The sequence below is a fragment of the Homo sapiens genome, chromosome 4 (genome assembly GCF_000001405.40).
Source record: "Homo sapiens chromosome 4, GRCh38.p14 Primary Assembly".
NCBI lineage: Eukaryota > Metazoa > Chordata > Mammalia > Primates > Hominidae > Homo > Homo sapiens.
The window spans coordinates 84,745,139-84,766,434 of NC_000004.12; the positions used below are offsets into that span (position 1 = coordinate 84,745,139).

Below are 21,296 nucleotides of genomic sequence, written 5' to 3' on the forward strand. Positions count from 1 at the left end.
TAACTTTCCAGTATCTGATCCAGTGAGTAGCAAGGAACTGGGAACAGAGGGATGAGATGTAGGAAAGAGCCTTTTGTCATCCTCAAATGCCAGTAGTTTCAGCCAGGTTTTTGATAGGAGTTGGATATTAAACAATTCAATAAATGTCATAACTTCCTTTCTTAAAAAGAGATCTGTATGTTTTAGATTCAGGCACAGTATTGAGGTTTTGCAAGTGAAATGGAAGAACCTACTTATTCTTGAATAGAGAGATCCAGGACTGTATTTATGACCCTGTTACAAAGATGGGCTTTTGGAATGCTGTTCTATTTTCCCTTCTATTCTGATTTTCAAGGTGGTCCTATTAAATGTTTTAAGAAAGTAGCTAGAATAAAAGTTCTACATTGAGAACAAGAATACTAGCTTAAGTTCTCAAAAGCCAACAGCTAAACCAAAATTGTAAGGAAAATTGCTCTTTCTTCTGCATGAGACTATTCATTTTGTTTTAAAATGACAAAATATGGGTCTAGTAAGAATTAAAAGAATACCAGTGCTTAGGAGTTTGGTTTGTCATTAAACTAATTTGGGAAAAAGTGAAGAACATCTCATGTTTTTATCTTTATAAATTTTCCTGTGTATTTGAACAGATTAATACAATAGCGAGCAGGAGACTTGTGACCAAGGCCTGTCTAGTCCTTTCAAGCCGATACTACATTGGGAGTCTTATCCCTATAAACTGAAGAGGATGTGAGGACTTTTAAGTGATTAACAGCAGACTGATAGTTCCAGGAGGCTTTCCTTATATCAGAGACCATTTTTTCCAATAGCTTGAGTCATCATAATTTGCTAAGGAATAAAGCTGTCCAGTCACAGAAGGACATAAACATTTTGAAAAAAATGGTACTCCTGGTTGGGCACGGTGGCTCATGCCTATAATCCCAGTATTTTGGGAGGCTAAGGCAGGTGGATTACTTGAACGCAGGAGTTCAAGACCAGCCTGGGGAACATGGCAAAACCCTGTCTCTACCAAAAAAAAAAAAAAAAAAAAAAAATCTCTGGCATGGTGGTGTGTGCCGGTAGTCATAGCTACTTGGGAGGCTGAGTTGGGAGGATTGATTGACCTCAGCAGGTCAAGGATGCAATGAGCCATGACTGTGCCACTGCATTCCAGACTATGCAACAGACCAAGATCCTGTCTTAAAAAAAGAAAGCTACTCTTTCAGGTTCATAATCAACTCAAGGTGGTTAATGAGATTAGTAATGAGTAGGGCTTATCAAATCTTAACTAGAAAAAGTTTTGAAGTCTGTAAAACAAAGGGACTATTAAACGTACAGAAATGCTTGGTGAATAACATTTATTTTTATTAAAATAATATTCTTTCTTATTCCAGAAGGATTTAACACTGGCTCAGTCATCAACAGGCATTTAATCTTCTGATTCATCTCAATAAAACTGTTACACGAATGATGAGGACCCAGAATTTACACTTGTTACTGGTCCTAGTGGCCTAGTTTGATGTTCTTACTGAGATGTATAGCAGTCTAACTTTTCAAGGACTTAACATTTTATGAAAGCATGCATTATTGTCTCGGAGGTGTTCTTTTTCTTTTTAAACAATTCACTGGACTACTGTTTTGTGCCAGACACAGGGCTTATATATATACATTATCTCATATAGTCAGGAAAATACCCTTGAAATAGATACTAACATCCCCATTTTAGAAATAATTGAGGCTTAGAGAGAGTAAGTCACTTGGTCAAGTCACAACTAGGATTCAAATCTCAGTTTCTGTGAAGCCAAAGCCCATGGCTTCACCAGTTATGTCATACTCTCCCCACTCTACTAAAATCTCCTTATGAAAGTTAAAAGCACAAGAGCAAATCTGCAAAGTGTGGGCTACAATCTCTTCATCACTCTTTTAGATAAGACTGGTTGGCCCACCAGACAACCAGAATGAAGGCAGGACAGGCACGGTGATCTGCTCTGGACTCTGGTGGTCAGATCTGTTTTCCTGGTGAAAACAGCAAAGCCAGTCAACATATCCATCAGTCTCCTTTTTAAGGTCTTGGGGACACTACCCAGGATCTTTGTGTCCCACACACAGGCCAGACAGCCCTTACGCATCTGCTGCCCATGGGTAGACAGCACAGTGGCTATGGAAGGAAGGCCTTTGGAATTCTGTCCTGTTTCTGTAATGGGCTGGAAGCCTTTAAAGATAGGATTTTGAGACTCCTGATTCTGACTGTAGTCTGCCTGTTGACTGATTTTTCCTCTCTGAGTTACTTTGTGGTGCTCTCTTTGCCCAATTTGCCATTGTTTTTTGCTTGTTTCCCTGTAGTTCCTCAGGGTGGGTTTCACTCTGATGTATGACAATGGGGAGCTCTTGTAGAAGATGGTTGGCATAGAGTCCAGTGAACTCCTCAGACCATAGCAATGTGCTTATGTTGGCTGTATCCCCTACCAAATCTCATCTTGAATTGTAGCTCCCATAATCCCCACAAGTCATGAGAGGGACACAGTGGAAGGTAATTAAATCATGGGGGTGGTTACTCTCATGCTGTTCTTGTGATAGTGAGTGAGTTCTCATGAGATCTGATGGTTTTATAAGGGGGTTTTCCCCTACTTCATTCTGCACTTGTCCTTGCTGCCACCATGTGAAGATGGATGTGTTTGCTTCCCCTTCTGCCATGACTGTAAGTTTCCTGAGGCATCCCCAGCCATGCTGAATTATGAGTCAATTAAACCTCTTTCCTTTATAAATTTTTATTTTTATAAATTTATAAAATTTATATAAAGGAAAATTTTTATAAATTTTCCTTTATGAAGACATACCCAGTCTCGGGTATGTCTTTATTAGTAGTGTGAGCTTGGACTAACACGCACTCCAAGTCAGCACCCTCTCAGTTTCATTATCTTTACCTCCAGGTATACACAAATCTGTTTGAGCTGTTCTCATGCACTTTCTTCCCATTGCCACGGTATTTATTTGCAGCAAATTCATTTGGCTCTTCATGAGAAGTCTGGTGGTGACAGCACAGGGCACTGATAAACAGGAGCTAGGAGAAGAGTCTCCAGGCACCCTTGTAGAAGCCAACACAGGCCACGTAGTCAATTTTTTGAGTATGTTTAAGTGTTGGGCACTGTGTTATGAATATTAAATCTTATTTAGTTTTCACAATAATTCTCAGAGAGAGGTTCACTTTTATATCATTTTACAGATGTGTAAATTGTATAGATGTGAAGAGAATTGAACTTGGTCAAGGCCACACAGCTATATCCAGCACACATGTAATTCCTCAGAATACTTTTTGTTGGGTGATGTACATATATTTAATCCTCACAATAATCTTGTAAGAGAGATGGTAAATAATATCATTCTCTAGAGAATGAATTTAGCTTGGGAAGATGAAAATGCTTATATAATAAACAACAGGGCCAGAATTTAAACCCAGGCACTTCTTACTCTCAAACCCATGCTCTAGCTTTCTGCCACACCACACTACTTCCCTTGTATTTGGCCTCAGTCACACTAAAGCCAGTCTATATGAATGGGAATCTCCTACTTTTATGCTAATGAATTTTACTGCTAATGAAGATAATTTTACATGTTCTTTTGTAGGTATAATCAAGTAAGTAGATACTTTTATGATGAAATTCTAACACTCATAGGACTGAAGATGCTCTGGTTCACATTTACTGGACTCAGATGTTCAAGCCCCTTCCTTCACAAAGGTAAATGGTAAATATGTAAGATAATTCTCTCTCTCTTTTTTTTTTTTTGAGACAGGGTCTCACTCTGACACCCAGGCTGGAATGCATTGGAATGCAGTGGTGTAATTACGGCTCACTGCAACTTTGAACACCTGGGCTCAAGCGATCCTTCCACCTTAGCCTCCAGTAGGTAGGATACAGGCACGCACCACAACACTGGCTATGGCTAATTTTTTTGTAAAGATGGGATTTCACCTGTTGCCCGGGTTGGTCTTGAACTCCTAACTTTAAGCAATCCTTCTGCCTTGACCTCCCAAAGAAAGTGTTGGGATTACAGGCATGAGCCACCATGCTCAACCTAATTTTCTTCTTGAATCTCTTCATGGATAAAGACTTCATAATCATAATTTTCAAAATCATATGTTTATAATTTATTCTGTTACACCATTGGAAGACATAGAATGTTAATATTTCATTAATATAATTTTTTTTGTATATGTATTCTGCATATGTATATTAAAGATACTCAAAATATTTAAAAGTAAATTTCTATGTTCTTTATTAGATAGTATCCTATCTTCCTGTTTGGGAATTTCCAGGGATGAAGTTAATAGTTAAATGATTCAAAAATACACTAAGCCTTACTTAATGTCATTGACAGGCTCCTGGCAACTGCAACTTTAAGTGAAACAATGTACAGCAGGTCCTCAAATAACATCATTTCCTTCAACCTAGTTTTATTATAAGGTTGACGAGGAAAAAAATTTAGTTTTGTTACACATCATTTTGCTTAAAGTTGCAGCTACCAAGAACTTATCAATGACGTTAAGTGAGGACTTACTGTACTGACAGAATACACCAAGGCACTGTGCTAAAAGTTGTGAGAGATGAAGGAACACATGAAAGTTGTTCTCTAAGCAGTTTATAATCTATCTGGAAGCTTCAATCCTGACACCCCCTGCTTTTCCCTGAACTGTACTCCTACTCGCTAGTATATTGAAGCACTATTCTACCGTAGGGCAAATTCATGCCCACAACAAAGAGAACCTTACTTCAAGGTTAATACATGTTATTATATATCAAATTCTTCCTACTAAAAAATATAGAAAACAAAAATAAAGGGCAATTATACAATTTAAATATGGGTAATTAATTAGCTATTCAGGTACCAGAAGCTTGAAAATGCTATCACTGTATGTTTCCAGTCATTCCATATCTTTCATGTATGTATTTTCCTTTTTTGATCAGTTATGCTTTCTTGCACACATCTCTTCTGGACTTTATCCTATTATTTTCCAATAAACTATTTCACTTTTTCATAAAATGCTTCAAATTTTTACCCTATACAGTAAGATACTGGTCATCTCTCTTAGAGCTTTTTAAAGTTTCCAAAGGGGAGACGTTCCATTGGGCCTGCTTTTTAATTCTACCACATGCATTAGTGAGGAAACCAATTATTCTCCTGCCATTATTAAACACTGTCATCCTGGTTAAATGCTTAGCATAACTGGTACCCTAATTACATTAGTGATTTTAAAAAAAATTGACCAAATTGAGATACTTTCGCATGAATAAGATAAACATGTGGTTTTCAGGTTTCTATTTATAAGTTAACTGTACTAGCCACTAGAGGGAGCACAAAAAAAAAAAATCTCAGGTTCAGCTGTCAAACTGCTGAGAGACAGTGCAGTTCCTCAGGGAGAAAAGCAGTCTTCTCCACAGATTTACTCTTTCATAAAACATGTTATTTTCAGAGCCCCTGGCATGGACTGTTTGACCTTATTTATATGAATTGGTCAAAAGAACATTAATGTATATGCAACTAATTACATTGTATTAAATTTTCTCTCTGTGATATCTTCAGACTTTTCTAGGTAAACATTTTTTAATGCTTTTCTGGGATAGCTAATTTCTAGAGGCAGCAATGAGGTCACTTAAAGGCTTAGAGCCACTCTCATTTTCTGATGCATCAGTTGATTCATATCAATTGTCAGGAGAATGGGCAGGCAGCCAACCTAGAAGTTTGCTGCCTTGGGGAATTTAACAAGTACATCCTGGGCACCTGTTCTGTACAATGCACCATGTCTTAAGTTGCACAGGACACTGACAACAGTAATACCTGGCAATGACAGGTAAGAGAAATTGATGTAGGAAATTATAAGGTAAGAAGACAATGCCACTAGGCACTGTTAATGTCCAGGGAAGGGGTTGGCACACTATGGCCTGTGGGCCAAATCCAGCCTGTGCTGTTTCTGTAGATAAAGTTTTATCAGAACACTGCCATGCTCATTCTCTTACGTATTGTCCATGGCTGCTTTCTAGCTACAACATACTTGAACAGATGTGACAGAGACCGTATGGCCCACAAGCTTAAAATATTTACTATTTGGCTTTTTACAGAAGAAGTTCGCCAGCTCTTAGAGAAAGGATGATAAAGGACTGAATTAGAGACATCCTTGAGGGAAGGAAAAGAACAAACTGATAGGGTTTAAAGCACATGTGGGATTAAGAACTTTCCACAGCCTATAACATGTTCTGCCTACACATAAACAAGAGGAATTAGAAATCCTTGTTATAGAACTTGTTTGGTTACTAATGTTCTAATTTAAAAAGTAATGCAAAAGAGATGTAAATGCGTTTCTTTTTCTTTACCTCCAACAAAAGATCAATTAGTGGAGTTTGCTTGCTGGCAGGAGTGAGACAGAGGTTGTCTATGATTAAGACCCGCATGAAGTCAAAAACGAACTTTTTAGCCGGGTGATTGGTCAGATATGTCTTGGTGCCCACATTGCAGTACTCTGATTGGCTCCTGTTCATCCCTGTGTCTGCTGCAAACGCTTTAAACTCTTCTGCTGGAGATCCAACTTCATCATCAAGGTCAGTCACCTAGTAAAATCAAGTGGAAAGATACGGTAATCACATTAGACTCTGACATTTTTACTTCTGTGTTTCCTAAAAATAAAACTGGAGCAGCAGCATTTTCCACCTATTAAGCTATTCAGCACATTATTTCACTCTGCTTTACTCGACCCTTCCTTTCAAGGTAGTAATCTGGCACCATATGTCATGGTTACGCAACATATGGTGTTTCTGACTGACCACTAACAATACGTCACCTTTAAGTTGAATTGTATGTCTATTGTGGCTAACTGCACTTAAAATATATGGAATAATAAAATTAGAATAAATATGTTTCCATATTTGAACTCTACCCCTACTGTGAAGTCAAATGTCACAGAATTTCACATAAAAATCTGGCATAATGGTAGCATGTAAGGGGTGATCCATTTATTATAGGTTAAAAAAACCCCAAATAAATTTAAAAAAAAAACAACAATATTGGTGCCAATTTTGAACCAAGTGACAGAGCGAGACTAGCAAACAAATTATAAGATGCTGATGGCCAGGCACAGTGGCTCACGCCTGTAATCCCAGCACTTTGGGAGGCCGACATAGGCAGATCACCTGAGATCAGGAGTTCGAGACTAGCCTGGCCAACATGGCGAAACCCCATCTCTATTAAAAATACAAAAAAATTGGCCAGGCGTAGTGGTCCATGCCTGTAATCTCAGCTACTCAGGAGGGTGAGGCAGTAGAATCACAGGAGAATCGCTTGAACTTGGGACGTGGAGGTTGCAGTGAGCCGAGATCGTGCCACCATTGCACTCCAGCCGGGATGACAAGAGCGAAACCCCGTCTCAAAAAAAAAAAAAAAGATGCTGACAAGGAAAAGATATTGATATATTATTGAAGGTCTTTTTTTTTTAAACCAAAAATAAGGATTCTAAAATTATAAACAAGCCAAGGTATTAAGGTCATGTGTCACATTTGCCTTTCTCCTAAAAATCCCCACCATTTTAGAATAAGTATTGTACCTTTATACATGGAGAAAAATTAGTATAAAGAAGGTCATTTATCCCAGGTCCTAGAGTATATGGTGGAAATATGAAGAAACATCATGAAATTTTGAAGTACTATGGAGGAATAACTATCTTTTGGGTGTGTTTTATCTATTTATTTTTAAACCTGTTTTATGTTTACAGTTTATTAGCTAATCAACATCAACGTGCAAAAGTAAGTGATAAGCCCCTGCTATATGGTTTTGTGTAAACTACAGTAGTTCATTCGTTTTGAAAAGTCACCAATATTTATGTCAACTGAACTATTAGTTACTGTAATGAATAGTATTTAGACTCTAAAGTTATGAAACTATCCTGCAAGCCCTCTGCAAAAATGTGCTTCAGTGAATTTCCACGTGAATACATTTTCAAAGCAGGAAACCAGGCAGCATTTTTGGGCTTATTTTAAAGAACAAAAGAGTATCTATACTATATGTGATTATAATCTAATAGTTTTTAAGTTAGTACAAAATAAGCAAAATAAAACTTTAATGAAAAAAGAAAAGTCAGGCGGAAGAAAGGACCAACATTTGCTTTCAACCCTATAATTTATTGGCAAAAGTTAAATCCAGCAAATACCTACTTCCTAAAATAAAAAATAAATAAATTTGGTCAGACTAGAGTTATCTTAATGGAAAAGAACATTTTACAACTACACAGCTGGCATCGCGTAAAATAAATGAATCAACTACTTGAAAAGGGAAATTACTAACAAGGGACTTACAAGAATATGGTGAATGAGAAAAGGAAGTAGAGTTCACTGTGATTTTAGGAGAAAGCAGAAGGAAACTGTGGGGAGCTGGGGACACCGGACAATAATGCAAGAGGTGATGTATAAAGTTATGAAACTGTAACTTGGTCAGAAACTTAAAAGACTGTCAAAAAAAATCTGCTAACCATTGAAACAGACTAATTCCAGTTCTGACATTCTAATTCCAGTTCTGACATTTTCCTCCCCCTTTCCTACCATCTCTGAGTAAGGGCGAATATTGAAGGGGAAGACGGTGGCTGCTAATGCACACAGGAAGTCAGGGCTCATCCACATGGAGGCAAGGTCTGGCACGTTGTGATACAAATATCTGAAGAACTGCATCAGGGTCACAGGATATTCTCGGAGCCAAGATCCCTCTTCTTCTGATTGCCAAGGCTGTTATGGGGACATGAGAGGAAACACTATGTTACAGTTATTGACACTGCTATAAATTATTTTAAAAATCCATTACTCAGTATTCTTATGAAACTGGATATATTGATGGTCCAGAACTCTGTAAACCACACATATGAGCAAACACACATGTATACACACATGCAAAGAAATTTAGAAACTAGCTAAAACAAAAAATCCCCTTAGAAACTGATAGGATCATTGTCTAATCATTAGATTAATCGCAGGTCTGCTAACTAGAATCAGTGGTTTTGATTATTCATTATTATTACCATGAGTGTTGGTGGTACCAAAGTGGCTGTATTACCATTAATGTTGCCCCATCGTGCATCATGCTAAGTTAGGAGTAAGATAAAAGGTAGGGAAGTTACTTCACCTTTCTGAGCCTCACTCTTAAGCATTATGTAATACAACAATGATGATGATAAAAAAATGAATACTGTATATTTGAACAATGTATATCTTCTGATACCTGCCCAGAGAGTATCTTTTAAAAAACTTTTCTTATGTCTTTATAGTTGTTTATGAATAGGCACCAAAACGAGACTCCTAAAACATTCTAAATTAATACATTTAATGGTAATGTTCTGTTCTTAGATGATACAACAATAGTTTTGACTGAAATTAGATTTGTCAGGTACATGTAATTCAAGGAGTCAAGTTAATATTTCCTGTTACAACACAATCCTAAATTGTATAAACAAATCTGGTCATTATTCACAGTATTCCTGTCAGATCAACAGGAACATCAGTTCTGTCTTTTACTCTTTCAATTCTTCATCTCTAAGTTAGACATAATTAGAGCAGAACAAAAGCAAAAACAAAATCAAATGAAACTTGTATTGTTAACATTTCTGACCTCTAAATGAAAGTGACTTTAAAAGTTGAAATAACATATTATTGTAATAACATATACTACAAATATGTACTCATTATATATGTACTCATTATTATATATTTTATTACATTAATAAGTTAATACTTACGAAGCACTTATTATGTATCAGCCATGTTTATAAGTGCTTTATGTGTATACACTATCTTATTAATTCCTCACAAATACCCTAAGAGATGCATGCTATTATTGTCGGCATTTTAAACACCAGGAAACTGAGGCACATAACTGAGGATAATAGATTGGAAGTACCAGAGGTGAGATTTTAACCCAGGTAGGGCTCCAGAGTGCACGGTCTTAACAACTACACAGTCTGTTCTTACGTTAGATATAATTTTGTCTAACATAAGAGTCTGAAGTTCCAGAGATCATGCAGTAAATAAAGTAGTTATGTTACCAAAAAATTCCTCTATTTACAAAAAAGTATCCTAGGCAGGAGGAATTCTCAATAGGCCTGGGCATTTGAGTGAACTTACTGAAGTCAGCATGCTGCGGAGCATTCCCAATAATAAAAAAACAGCTTCTGTGCATACGTTATGGATAGAAGAGACCACAGTTCCGCTGGAGGCAGGAACTCCAAAGATGAATGTCCAAATGGAATCCAAATCAAACTGCAGAGGTGAAAGGGAGCAAATATTAGCCACCACTAATTTTTCAGTAGAGACCCTCATAAGTTCTAATAGGCTAAAATTTCTTTGAAACTAGTTTTTTGTTGTTTTTAAAAGTAACCAATGATATAGACATAAAGAACTAGTACCCTTCCATCCTACATTTTAAAACTCATTTTTATAGATATAAAAAATTGAATACTGTGTATCATTCTGCATTCTGCCTTAGGTACCTATGTTAAAAACATTGCTTTCTACCTTTTTCCTAAAGAATATAAAAATAAAATACATGTTAATTAGCCAAGAGATAAAATTATAGAACAAATAAATTTAAGCAAGATCTTTTAAACAAAGCACATTAAGCTCACTTCTTTCCCATTCTCAGCAGTATTTTAATTTTAGATTACTTACAGATAAATCTGATAAAATAAAATTAATTTAAGACTTATTAATAGCAGTTTTATATATAAACTTTATGACTATGGCACCATGGATATTGAAAAATTGCATAACCAATACAACTGTGCTAGGCATGAATCTGTATCTTAATTTAATCTAAGGGCACAGACTCAAGTGTTTACACTTAAAAGATTTTGTCAACTACTAGAATTGATTTGAATAGCATTTGGCATTAGGATGGAAGTGTAGTTGAGTCTAAAAGCTAAATTCCTACAGTGCCACAAACATAAGCTATATACAGACATCTTTAACAGTCTTCAATTAGAAGTCAAGTAAAGTCTTACTATTTTCCCAATGTGGATGCTATCTATCATTAAGTAATTTTTTTTTCCTAATCCGAATTTGCACTGAGAATCCTGTCATACCCACTCGAGGAGTGATATTTAATTTATGGTATATAAGCCACTCCTTTCATTTTTAATTCTGCAGAAATCAATCACATGACAGGCTGGACACAGTGGCTCGCGCCTGTAATCCCAGCACTTTGGGAGGCTGAGGCAGGTGGATCACCTGAGGTCAGGAGTTCAAGACCAGCTAGGCCAACATGGTGAGACCCTGTCTCTACTAAAAATACAAAAATTAGCCCAGCGGGGTAGCGCCTGACTGTAGTTTCAGCTACTCAGGAGACTGAGGTGGGAGAATCGCTTGAACCCGGGAGGTGGAATTTTCAATCAGCTGAGATCATGCCACTGCACTCTAGCCTGGGTGACAGAGTAAGACTCTGTCTCACAAATAAAATAAAATAAAATAAAATAAAATAAAATAAAATAAAATAAAATAAAATAAATCATATAACAAAAGAGTTCTTTAGATCACCATTAAATATCATCCAGAGTCTTTATGCATCTATAATATACAGAGTTATCATATAGGAAAAAATTGTAAATAGGGACAAAGGACTTTTTGGGAAAATTTTCTGTGGTATTTTCAGATTTTTCTGTCCCAAATCAAACCTTAAATGTGGGGAAAGTGATGGAATTGACAGTTGGTTTTACAGTGATTATCCATTATCCTACGGTGATTCTTTGGAATACGTAATTTCACGCACCCCTTGCTAGATAATTCCTACCTGGCAACCCTGCTTACTCCGGCAGCTGATGACAGGCACACTGACCTGCAGGTTCTCAGGCAGCTCACTAACTGGCTGCTGCAGAAACAAGGCCATGAGGAGAAAATAGAGGGCAGGGACATTAGTGTGTTTAGGAAGGAATGACTGAAGGACTGGAAAACCAGGAAAATGACAAGCATCTCGGTTAATCTCCCTGACCGTCGATCTCCCACCAGCACTTCTGCCCACGTTGAATCCTAAGAGAAGAGGAATATAACAGTAAGTGCAAAATCAGCAACTGATAAACATGCTGCATTAACAAAGAAGGAAGTAATTCAGTATGTGTTAACATTTCTATCCAGAACATTCATACTACTATAGGCAATTAAGTATTCAACTGTTGAATTAATCTTCAGTTAAAAGTTTTACTTTACAATTTGTTTGACTTTAGCAAACCTGTCTATTAGGATATAGGTTTTGAAACACAGTTGAGACAATAAGATACAAGGGAGTTTGAAAATCCTTCTTAAGGTGCTGTAAGTTCTACTTATTAAATGAAAGACCTCAGAAGAGCTCTAGTGTTCTTGTAGTTCCCTAAGAAAAAAGTGAAATCCAAAATACAGCCAAAATTTAGAATGCTACAAAAACATAACTTAAAAATATCCTTGTTATGATATATTTTTATTTTTTTGAGACACAGTTTTGCTTTGTTGCCCAGGCTGGAGTGCAGTGCCATGATATTGGCTCACTGCAATCTCCACCTCCTAGGGTCAAAGCAGTCCTCCCACCTCAGCCTCCTGAGTAGCTGGGACTACAGACATGAGCTACCACCCCCAGCTAATTTTTGTAACTTGCTATAATGTAGTTAATATATTTCATTGTCCTGAAAATCATGAAAAACTAGTTAACCTTAAATTACCTATGAATTTAGAGACAAGACTAAATGAGTAAGTAAAACAATCTTTACTCACAACATGATCTGTAATCTGTTGGAAAGCTGCTGGGCAGTGGGATGGTAAATCCAAGCCCGTTGTGGCTGCAGCTATCCACTGGCTGAACTTAACATCCAGAATTCCCTCTAGAAACCCAGCTTTTTAAGGAGATAATCAGTTCTTACTAATGTAGCTTATGGCATCAGTGTTTCCATCAATCTTGTTTCCTCTGTTTTATAATGAAACTCAGGATACACCCTAAGCATGTGGTTCACCTCATACCTAGGGAAGTACTCAGTACACAGTGAATGTTTGTCAAATTTTCAATGGAAACTTTTGTGAATAGCAACTAATAGATGAGGAACTGATTTCGGTCTGAAGCAATTTGTATTTCAAATAGATATTTGCATTTATTATTTATTCTTTAAGATCTGAGGGTTCACTCTGTTGCCCAGGCTGGAGTACAGTGGCATGATCGTAGCTCACTTAACCTCAAACTCCTGGACTCAAAGGATCCTCCCGCCTCAGCTTCCCCAGTAGCTAGCACTACAGGCACATGCAACCATGCCTGGCTAATTAAAAAAATTTTTTGGTAGAGACAAGGTCTTGCTATGTTGCTCAGGCTGGTCTCAAACTCCTAGTGTCAAATGATGCTCCCGTCTTAGCCTCCCAAAGCACTAAGATTACAGGCATGAGAGACTGCACTCAGCAAAGATATCCATATTTTTTTCAACTTCTTTTTTTCTGGAGTGCAGCAAAGTACATATTACAACTGCTATTTTATATAATAAAGGAAAAATTTATGTCTAGGTTGCTTTCAAAATATTTTATCCTAACCAATTCCTCAGTGTGACGTGATTAACTCCAAAGTATGCTCTTCTAATTAATAAAAAAATTATATAGCAATTTAAAAAACTCTTTCCCATATCATTCCTTAATCACAATGAACATGTGAGGCAGAAATTACTATTATCATTTTTACAACATAGAAAACATGATTTGTTCAAAGTCACAATGTGTTTTAGACATGAAGTCCTTGCCCGTGCCTATGTCCTGAATGGTAATGCCTAGGTTTTCTCCTAGGGTTTTTATGGTTTTAGGTCTAACGTTTAAGTCTTTAATCCATCTTGAATTGATTTTTGTATAAGGTGTAAGCAAGGGATCCAGTTTCAGCTTTCTACATATGGCTAGGCAGTTTTCCCAGCACCATTTATTGAACAGGGAATCCTTTCCCCATTGCTTGTTTTTCTCAGGTTTGTCAAAGATCAGATAGTTGTAGATATGCGGCGTTATTTCTGAGGGCTGTGTTCTGTTCCATTGATCTATATCTCTGTTTTGGCACCAGTACCTTGCTGTTTTGGTTACTGTAGCCTTGCAGTAGAGTTTGAAATCAGGTAGGGTGATGCCTCCAGCTTTGTTCTTTTGGCTTAGGATTGACTTGGGGATGCGGGCTCTTTTTTGGTTCCATATGAATTTTAAAGTAGTTTTTTCCAATTCTGTGAAGAAAGCCATTGGTAGCTTGATGGGGATGGCATTGAATCGATAAATTACCTTGGGCAGTATGACCATTTTCATGATATTGATTCTTCCTACCCATGAGCATGGAATGTTCTTCCATTTGTTTGTATCCTCTTTTATTTCCTTGAGCAGTGGTTTGTAGTTCTCCTTGAAGAGGTCCTTCACATCCCTTGTAAGGTGGATTCCTAGGTATTTTATTCTCTTTGAAGCAATTGTGAATGGGAGTTCACTCATGATTTGGCTCTCTGTTTGTCTGTTATTGGTGTATAAGAATGCTTGTGATTTTTGTACATTGATTTTGTATCCTGAGACTTTGCTGAAGTTGCTTATCAGCTTAAGGAGATTTTGGGCTGAGACAATGGGGTTTTCTAGATATACAATCATGTCGTCTGCAAACAGGGACAATTTGACTTCCTCTTTTCCTAATTGAATACCTTTATTTCCTTCTCCTGCCTAATTGCCCTGGCCAGAACTTCCAACACTATGTTGAATAGGAGTGGTGAGAGAGGGCATCCCTGTCTTGTGCCAGTTTTCAAAGGGAATGCTTCCAGTTTTTGCCCATTCAGTATGATATTGGCTGTGGGTTTGTCATAGATAGCTCTTATTATTTTGAGATACGTCCCATCAACACCTAATTTATTGAGAGTTTTTAGCCTGAAGGGTTGTTGAATTTTGTCAAAGGCTTTTTCTGCATCTATTGAGATAATCATGTGGTTTTTGTCTTTGGTTCTGTTTATATGCTGGATGACATTTATTGATTTGCATATATTGAACCAGCCTTGCATCCCAGGGATGAAGCCCACCTGATCATGGTGGATAAGCTTTTTGATGTGCTGCTGGATTCGGTTTGCCAGTATTTTATTGAGGATTTTTGCATCAATGTTCATCAAGGATATTGGTCTAAAGTTCTCTTTTTTGGTTGTGTCTCTGCCCGGCTTTGGTATCAGGATGATGCTGGCCTCATAAAATGAGTTAGGGAGGATTCCCTCTTTTTCTATTGATTGGAATAGTTTCAGAAGGAATGGTACCAGCTCCTCCTTGTACCTCTGGTAGAATTCAGCTGTGAATCCATCTGGTCCTGGACTCTTTTTGGTTGGTAAGCTATTGATTATTGCCACAATTTCAGATCCTGTTATTGGTCTATTCAGAGATTCAACTTTTTCCTGGTTTAGTCTTGGGAGAGTGTATGTGTCAAGGAATTTATCCATTTCTTCTAGATTTTCTAGTTTATTTGTGTAGAGGTTGTTTGTAGTATTCTCTGATGGTAGCTTGTATTTCTGTGGGATTGGTGGTGATATCCCCTTTATCATTTTTTATTGCATCTATTTGATTCTTCTCTCTTTTTTTCTTTATTAGTCTTGCTAGCGGTCTATCAATTTTGTTGATCCTTTCAAAAAACCAGCTCCTGGATTCATTAATTTTTTGAAGGGTTTTTTGTGTCTCTATTTCCTTCAGTTCTGCTCTGATTTTAGTTATTTCTTGCCTTCTGCTAGCTTTTGAATGTGTTTGCTCTTGCTTTTCTAGTTCTTTTAATTGTGATGTTAGGGTGTCAATTTTGGATCTTTCCTGCTTTCTCTTGTGGGCATTTAGTGCTATAAATTTCCCTCTACACACTGCTTTGAATGTGTCCCAGAGATTCTGGTATGTTGTGTCTTTGTTCTCGTTGGTTTCAAAGAACATGTTTATTTCTGCCTTCATTTCGTTATGTACACAGTAGTCATTCAGGAGCAGGTTGTTCAGTTTCCATGTAGTTGAGCGGTTTTGAGTGAGTTTCTTAATCCTGAGTTCTAGTTTGATTGCACTGTGGTCTGAGAGATAGTTTGTTATAATTTCTGTTCTTTTACATTTGCTGAGGACAGCTTTACTTCCAACTATGTGGTCAATTTTGGAATAGGTGTGGTGTGTTGCTGAAAAAAATGTATATTCTGTTGATTTGGGGTGGAGAGTTCTGTAGATGTCTATTAGGTCTGCTTGGTGCAGAGCTGAGTTCAATTCCTGGGTATCCTTGTTGACTTCCTGTCTCCTTGATCTGTCTAATGTTGACAGTGGGGTGTTAAAGTCTCCCATTATAAATGTGTGGGAGTCTAAGTCTCTTTGTAGGTCACTCAGGACTTGCTTTATGAATCTGGGTGCTCCTGTATTGGGTGCATATATATTTAGGATAGTTAGCTCTTCTTGTTGAATTGATCCCTTTACCATTATGACTTCATGTCTAAAACACCAAAAGCAATGGCAACAAAAGCCAAAATTGACAAATGGGATCTAATTAAACTAAAGAGCTTCTGCACAGCAAAGGAAACTACCATCAGAATGAACAGGCAACCCACAAAATGGGAGAAAATTTTCACAACCTACTCATCTGACTAAGGGCTAATATCCAGAATCTACAACGAACTCAAACAAATTTACAAGAAAAAAACAAACAACCCCATCAAAAAGTGGGCAAAGGACATGAACAGACACTTCTCAAAAGAAGGCATTTATGCAGCCAAAAATCACATGAAAAAATGCTCACCATCACTGGCCATCAGAGAAATGCAAATCAAAACCACAATGAGATATCATCTCACACCAGTTAGAATGGCAATCATTAAAAAGTCAGGAAACAACAGGTGCTGGAGAGGACGTGGAGAAATAGGAACACTTTTACACTGTTGGTGGGACTGTAAACTAGTTCAACCATTGTGGAAGTCAGTGTGGTGATTCCTCAGGGATCTAGAACTAGAAATACCATTTGACCCGGCCATCCCATTACTGGGTATATACCCAAAGGAATATAAATCATGCTGCTATAAAGACACATGCACACATATGTTTATTGCGGCACTATTCACAATAGCAAAGACTTGGAACCAACCCAAATGTCCAACAATGATAGACTGGATTAAGAAAATGTGGCACATATACACCATAGAATACTATGCAGCCATAAAAAATGATGAGTTCATGTCCTTTGTAGGGACATGGATGAAACTGGAAATCATCATTCTCAGTAAACTATCGCAAGAACAAAAAACCAAACACTGCATATTCTCACTCATAGGTGGGAACTGAATAATGAGAACACATGGACATAGGAAGGGGAACATCACACTCTGGGGACTGTTCTGGGGTGGGGGGAGGGGGGAGGGATAGCATTGGGAGATATACCTAATGCTAGATGACGAATTAGTGGGTGCAGCACACCAGCATGTCACATGTATACATATGTAACTAACCTGCACATTGTGCACATGTACCCTAAAACTTGAAGTATAATAATAAAAAAAAAAGTCACAATGTGGCATAAGTGGAGGCACTATGATTTGACAACTCATTTCTCCATTTTAGAGTCTGTAAAATTATTGTTTTCTTTGCCCTCATTAATGAAACTGCCACATTTCTGAAAGATTGGCTTAATTAGAATGGCTTAATTAGGAGATCGTGCTGATTTTTCTTTATAGAAATTCTAAATAAAATTGTAAGATTAAACAATGTTTTGAGCTCTAAGAAATCAAAAGGCATCTCAGCTACTCAGGAGGCTGAGATGGGAGGACTGCTTGAGCCCAGGAGCTTAAGTCTAGCCTGGACCACATAACAAGACCCAATCTCTAAAAAATAAAAAAAATTTAAAAAGTGAAAAAGAAACCAAAAGACATCAAGTGGTTATTTTATACATTAAATAGGAAAATAGATTTTGATTACATTGCAAGTCCTAAAAAAAAACCAAAAAACTGGCATTCTCATTTTCCTCTCCTCTCACATTATTTTCCCCTATAATTAATCTTAAGGAATATTTAATATATCACGATTAAGCATTAATTTAGATACAAGTTTCAGCTACATGAAAGATTTTTATGGCAGCCATAACAAAGAATGAGTTCATGTCCTTTGCAGGGACATGGACAAAGCTGGAAACCATCATCCTCAGCAAACTAACACAGGAACAGAAAACCAAACACCGCATGTTCTCACTCATAAGTGGGAGTTGAACAATGAGAACACATGGACACAGGGAGGGGAACATCATGCACCGGGGTCTGTTGTAGGGTGGGGGTTAAGGGGAGGGAGAGAATTAGGACAAATACCCAATGCATGTGGGGCTTAAAACCTAGATGACGGGCTGATAGGTGCAGCAAACCACCATGGCACATGTATACATACATAATAAACCTGAATGTTCTGCACATGTATCCCAGAAATTAAAGTAAAATTTTAAAAAATCTATTTTTATAAAGAAAAATTTTACAAAAACCAATAAATGTGAATAAAAAAGTAAAAAAAAAAAAGGTTGCCATTCCGATCAAGGAGAAATAGAATCAAATGAGCTGATATGTACACTTGTTTACATACACAAAAATGTGTATGTGTCAGATAGATATTCAGGGAAAATTAAGTTAAGTGGGGTCAAATTGAAATTAAATTTAAATTGAATACCTAGATATAGGAGCAGCATATGCATGCTCATGCAAGTACCAATGAAGGACAAAAAGATTCTAATGCATGAAATCAGGTAGGTCAGACACAGTGAAAGCACCTCTCTCTAATATTACTAAAGTGACGCAGGACAGAAAAAGCACAGGACTAACAAAAGACAGATTCTTAGAGAGTATTACTGCCTAGCGAAATAACCTTATGTAGTTAACAGTCTTAATTTCCTAATTAGAGAAATTAATCCTTACTTTATATTCATTAGGCTTATTTTCTAGAAAATAAAACTTATATGCTATAAAATATATGCCTGTCTCCAGAATTATGAAGGACAAATGAGATGATATATGTGAACTAATTTTGCAAACCACAATGTACTATTATAAATCTCAGGCGTTATTACTACTGCTGCTGTTGGCCTTCAAAATAAGCATTGCTGTCAATTAGCATTTAAACCTTGCATATTCAACAGAACTCACATTCAGTTGTGCCTTTCGTTATTTATTCTCCAGTAGGTATTATTAAGGCCAATAAACGAAACTTCTTACTACCAAAATGTTCAAAATAATCATATCTGTAGATTAAATCCTTCCCCAGAGTTCATGTAAAATGTGATCTATTTTTTGAGCACAAAAGTACCCATGATGATCATTTAAAATGTATATTATAAAGCAGACAATTTTCTTTAGAAATCATTTCACTGTGACATGGAAATGATATTACTTTTCCTTTATCACATACAAAGTTTCTTCAGACCTTCTTCACATCTGAAATAACAATACAATAGTACTATGTTGAAAGACCTGTCTTCCTATGGCTGGGTGCAGTGGCTCACGCCTGTAATCCCAGCACTTTAGGAGGCGAAGGCGGGTGGATCACGAGGTCAGGAGATCGAGACCATCCTGGCTAACATGGTGAAACCCCGTCTCTACTAAAAAAAAAAAAATACAAAAAATTAGCCGGGCGTGGTGGCAGGCGCCTGTAGTCCCAGCTACTCAGGAGGCTGAGGCAGGAAGAATGAACCCGGAAGGTGGAGCTTGCAGTGAGCCAAGATCGTGCCACTGCACTCCAGCCTGGGCGACAGAGCTAGACTCCGACTCAAAAAAAAAAAAAAAAAGATCTGTCTTCCTATAATTTGCTTTCATGTTTAAAGAAGTAGTACAGGCAGCAGCTAGACACTGATACTTAAACTTTTTTTCTATAAATGAATTACATATTAAATTCTAATCCCTATTTTTCCCATCGGACCAAGGTAAATAGATATTCTCAATATCAGCTTCTTAAGATCAGACACACAAACAATTAGATATGATTTACAAGGCAATGTTACATGACAAATGTATTTTTAAAATTATTTAACTGAATGACTTTGCCTTTAAATAAAGACAGTATCTTCAAATATATATTTTCCAAAGTAATATTACTAATATGAATGGAAACATATGAGTTCAAATAAATCTAGCATAGTAAACTGCAATTTTCTAACATTAGGTAAATGCTCAGTTATAGGCTGAAAATAGCTATGGTACTAGTGAGCTTAAATCCTTGTGTGGCAATATAACATAAATGTTAAAAGCATAGGCTTTGGAACTAAATAAAATGAATTTGGTTTCCTAATCTGCAAAATAGATATGATAGCATTTGCACCTCACAGAGTTATTGTGATGAAATGTTATTGCCTGGCAAGTGTTTAGGAACTGGCACACAGTAAGTACTCAAAATAAATATTTATTATTATTATTAATTTAGTTCTACTACTGATAATTTGCTAATTATTTACTTACAGATCAGTAAGGCCTATACTACAAAAAGATCTTGAGGAATTCCCTGAGTTTTCAAATCTTAGTATGTTATCTCTGTCTTCAGTTTGATTTGCCATTTAAAAGGACTAATTTGAAATCTTGTAAGCTCTTCCTTCTATCATTAATTAAAATTAATATCTCCTTAATGGTGATCAAACCGCAGAGGATAAGTTTACATAAAATTTAAAATAAAACAAAACACACCAGCTCATTTTCAAGCAGCTGACTAGAAAAGTCCCATACCTAATACAGTTCCAATCTTATTAGTTAAGACAGAATCTGTCTGTTCAAGCCATCCTCCACCACTGAGTCCTTCTTTAAACTTGATGAGAATAGACTGATTACTTAGTAGGACAACAAGAATCCTCATGGCTGCTGTAACTGTGGTGGAATGTAAGTGTTCCTCCATAAACATCATGATCCAGTCAAAACCCAGTGTCTTCACCAGTTCTTCACAAGCTCTATTCAAGACAGATGGATTTAAAAAACAAAAAACAAAATTAATTTCAGAAATTAGGATTTCAAATCAAAAAGGAAAAAGAAGACTGAGTTTCATTCTGGAGATACTATAAATTTCAGGGTTAAAAAAATCTATTTAAAGTCAATGGCAATTCCTTCTTTTGCCTAACATGAATTAACTAGTAGTAGCAACTGGTATAATCACTTTTAAAAAAGATTTACTTACTGCAAATTAATGCTTGTCTTTTCTTTAGATGTATAAATTAGTTTTAGCAAGATATCCAGAAGTCTGTTCCTCAAAAGTATAAGATTAGCTGATACAAGACCTCCAAACTCCTCTTCAGTTCCTAAAATAAAAATAAATACATTAAATCTCCCTAGTAGATAAGCTAAAAGAAAATTTACAACA

At 36.7% G+C, this 21,296-nt stretch overlaps 1 protein-coding gene across 29 annotated transcripts in view; it reads right to left on the reverse strand.

Moving 5' to 3' along the window:
• WDFY3 (WD repeat and FYVE domain containing 3) overlaps window positions 1–21,296 on the reverse strand; it is a 297,094-nt gene that overhangs the window by 75,542 nt on the left and 200,256 nt on the right. For 26 of the 29 annotated variants that reach the window (XM_011531759.3, XM_047449858.1, XM_011531763.4 and 23 more), the window contains 6 exons: window positions 21,114–21,234; window positions 20,672–20,889; window positions 11,788–12,023; window positions 10,128–10,262; window positions 8,559–8,738; window positions 6,345–6,578 (listed from right to left, as the gene is read on the reverse strand). In XM_011531759.3, coding sequence (XP_011530061.1) covers window positions 6,345–6,578; window positions 8,559–8,738; window positions 10,128–10,262; window positions 11,788–12,023; window positions 20,672–20,889; window positions 21,114–21,234 — 1,124 coding nt within the window. The remainder of the gene's footprint in view (window positions 1–6,344; window positions 6,579–8,558; window positions 8,739–10,127; window positions 10,263–11,787; window positions 12,024–20,671; window positions 20,890–21,113; window positions 21,235–21,296) is intronic. The other 3 variants (XM_047449855.1, XM_047449853.1, XM_011531761.4) reach the window with 1 other exon arrangement.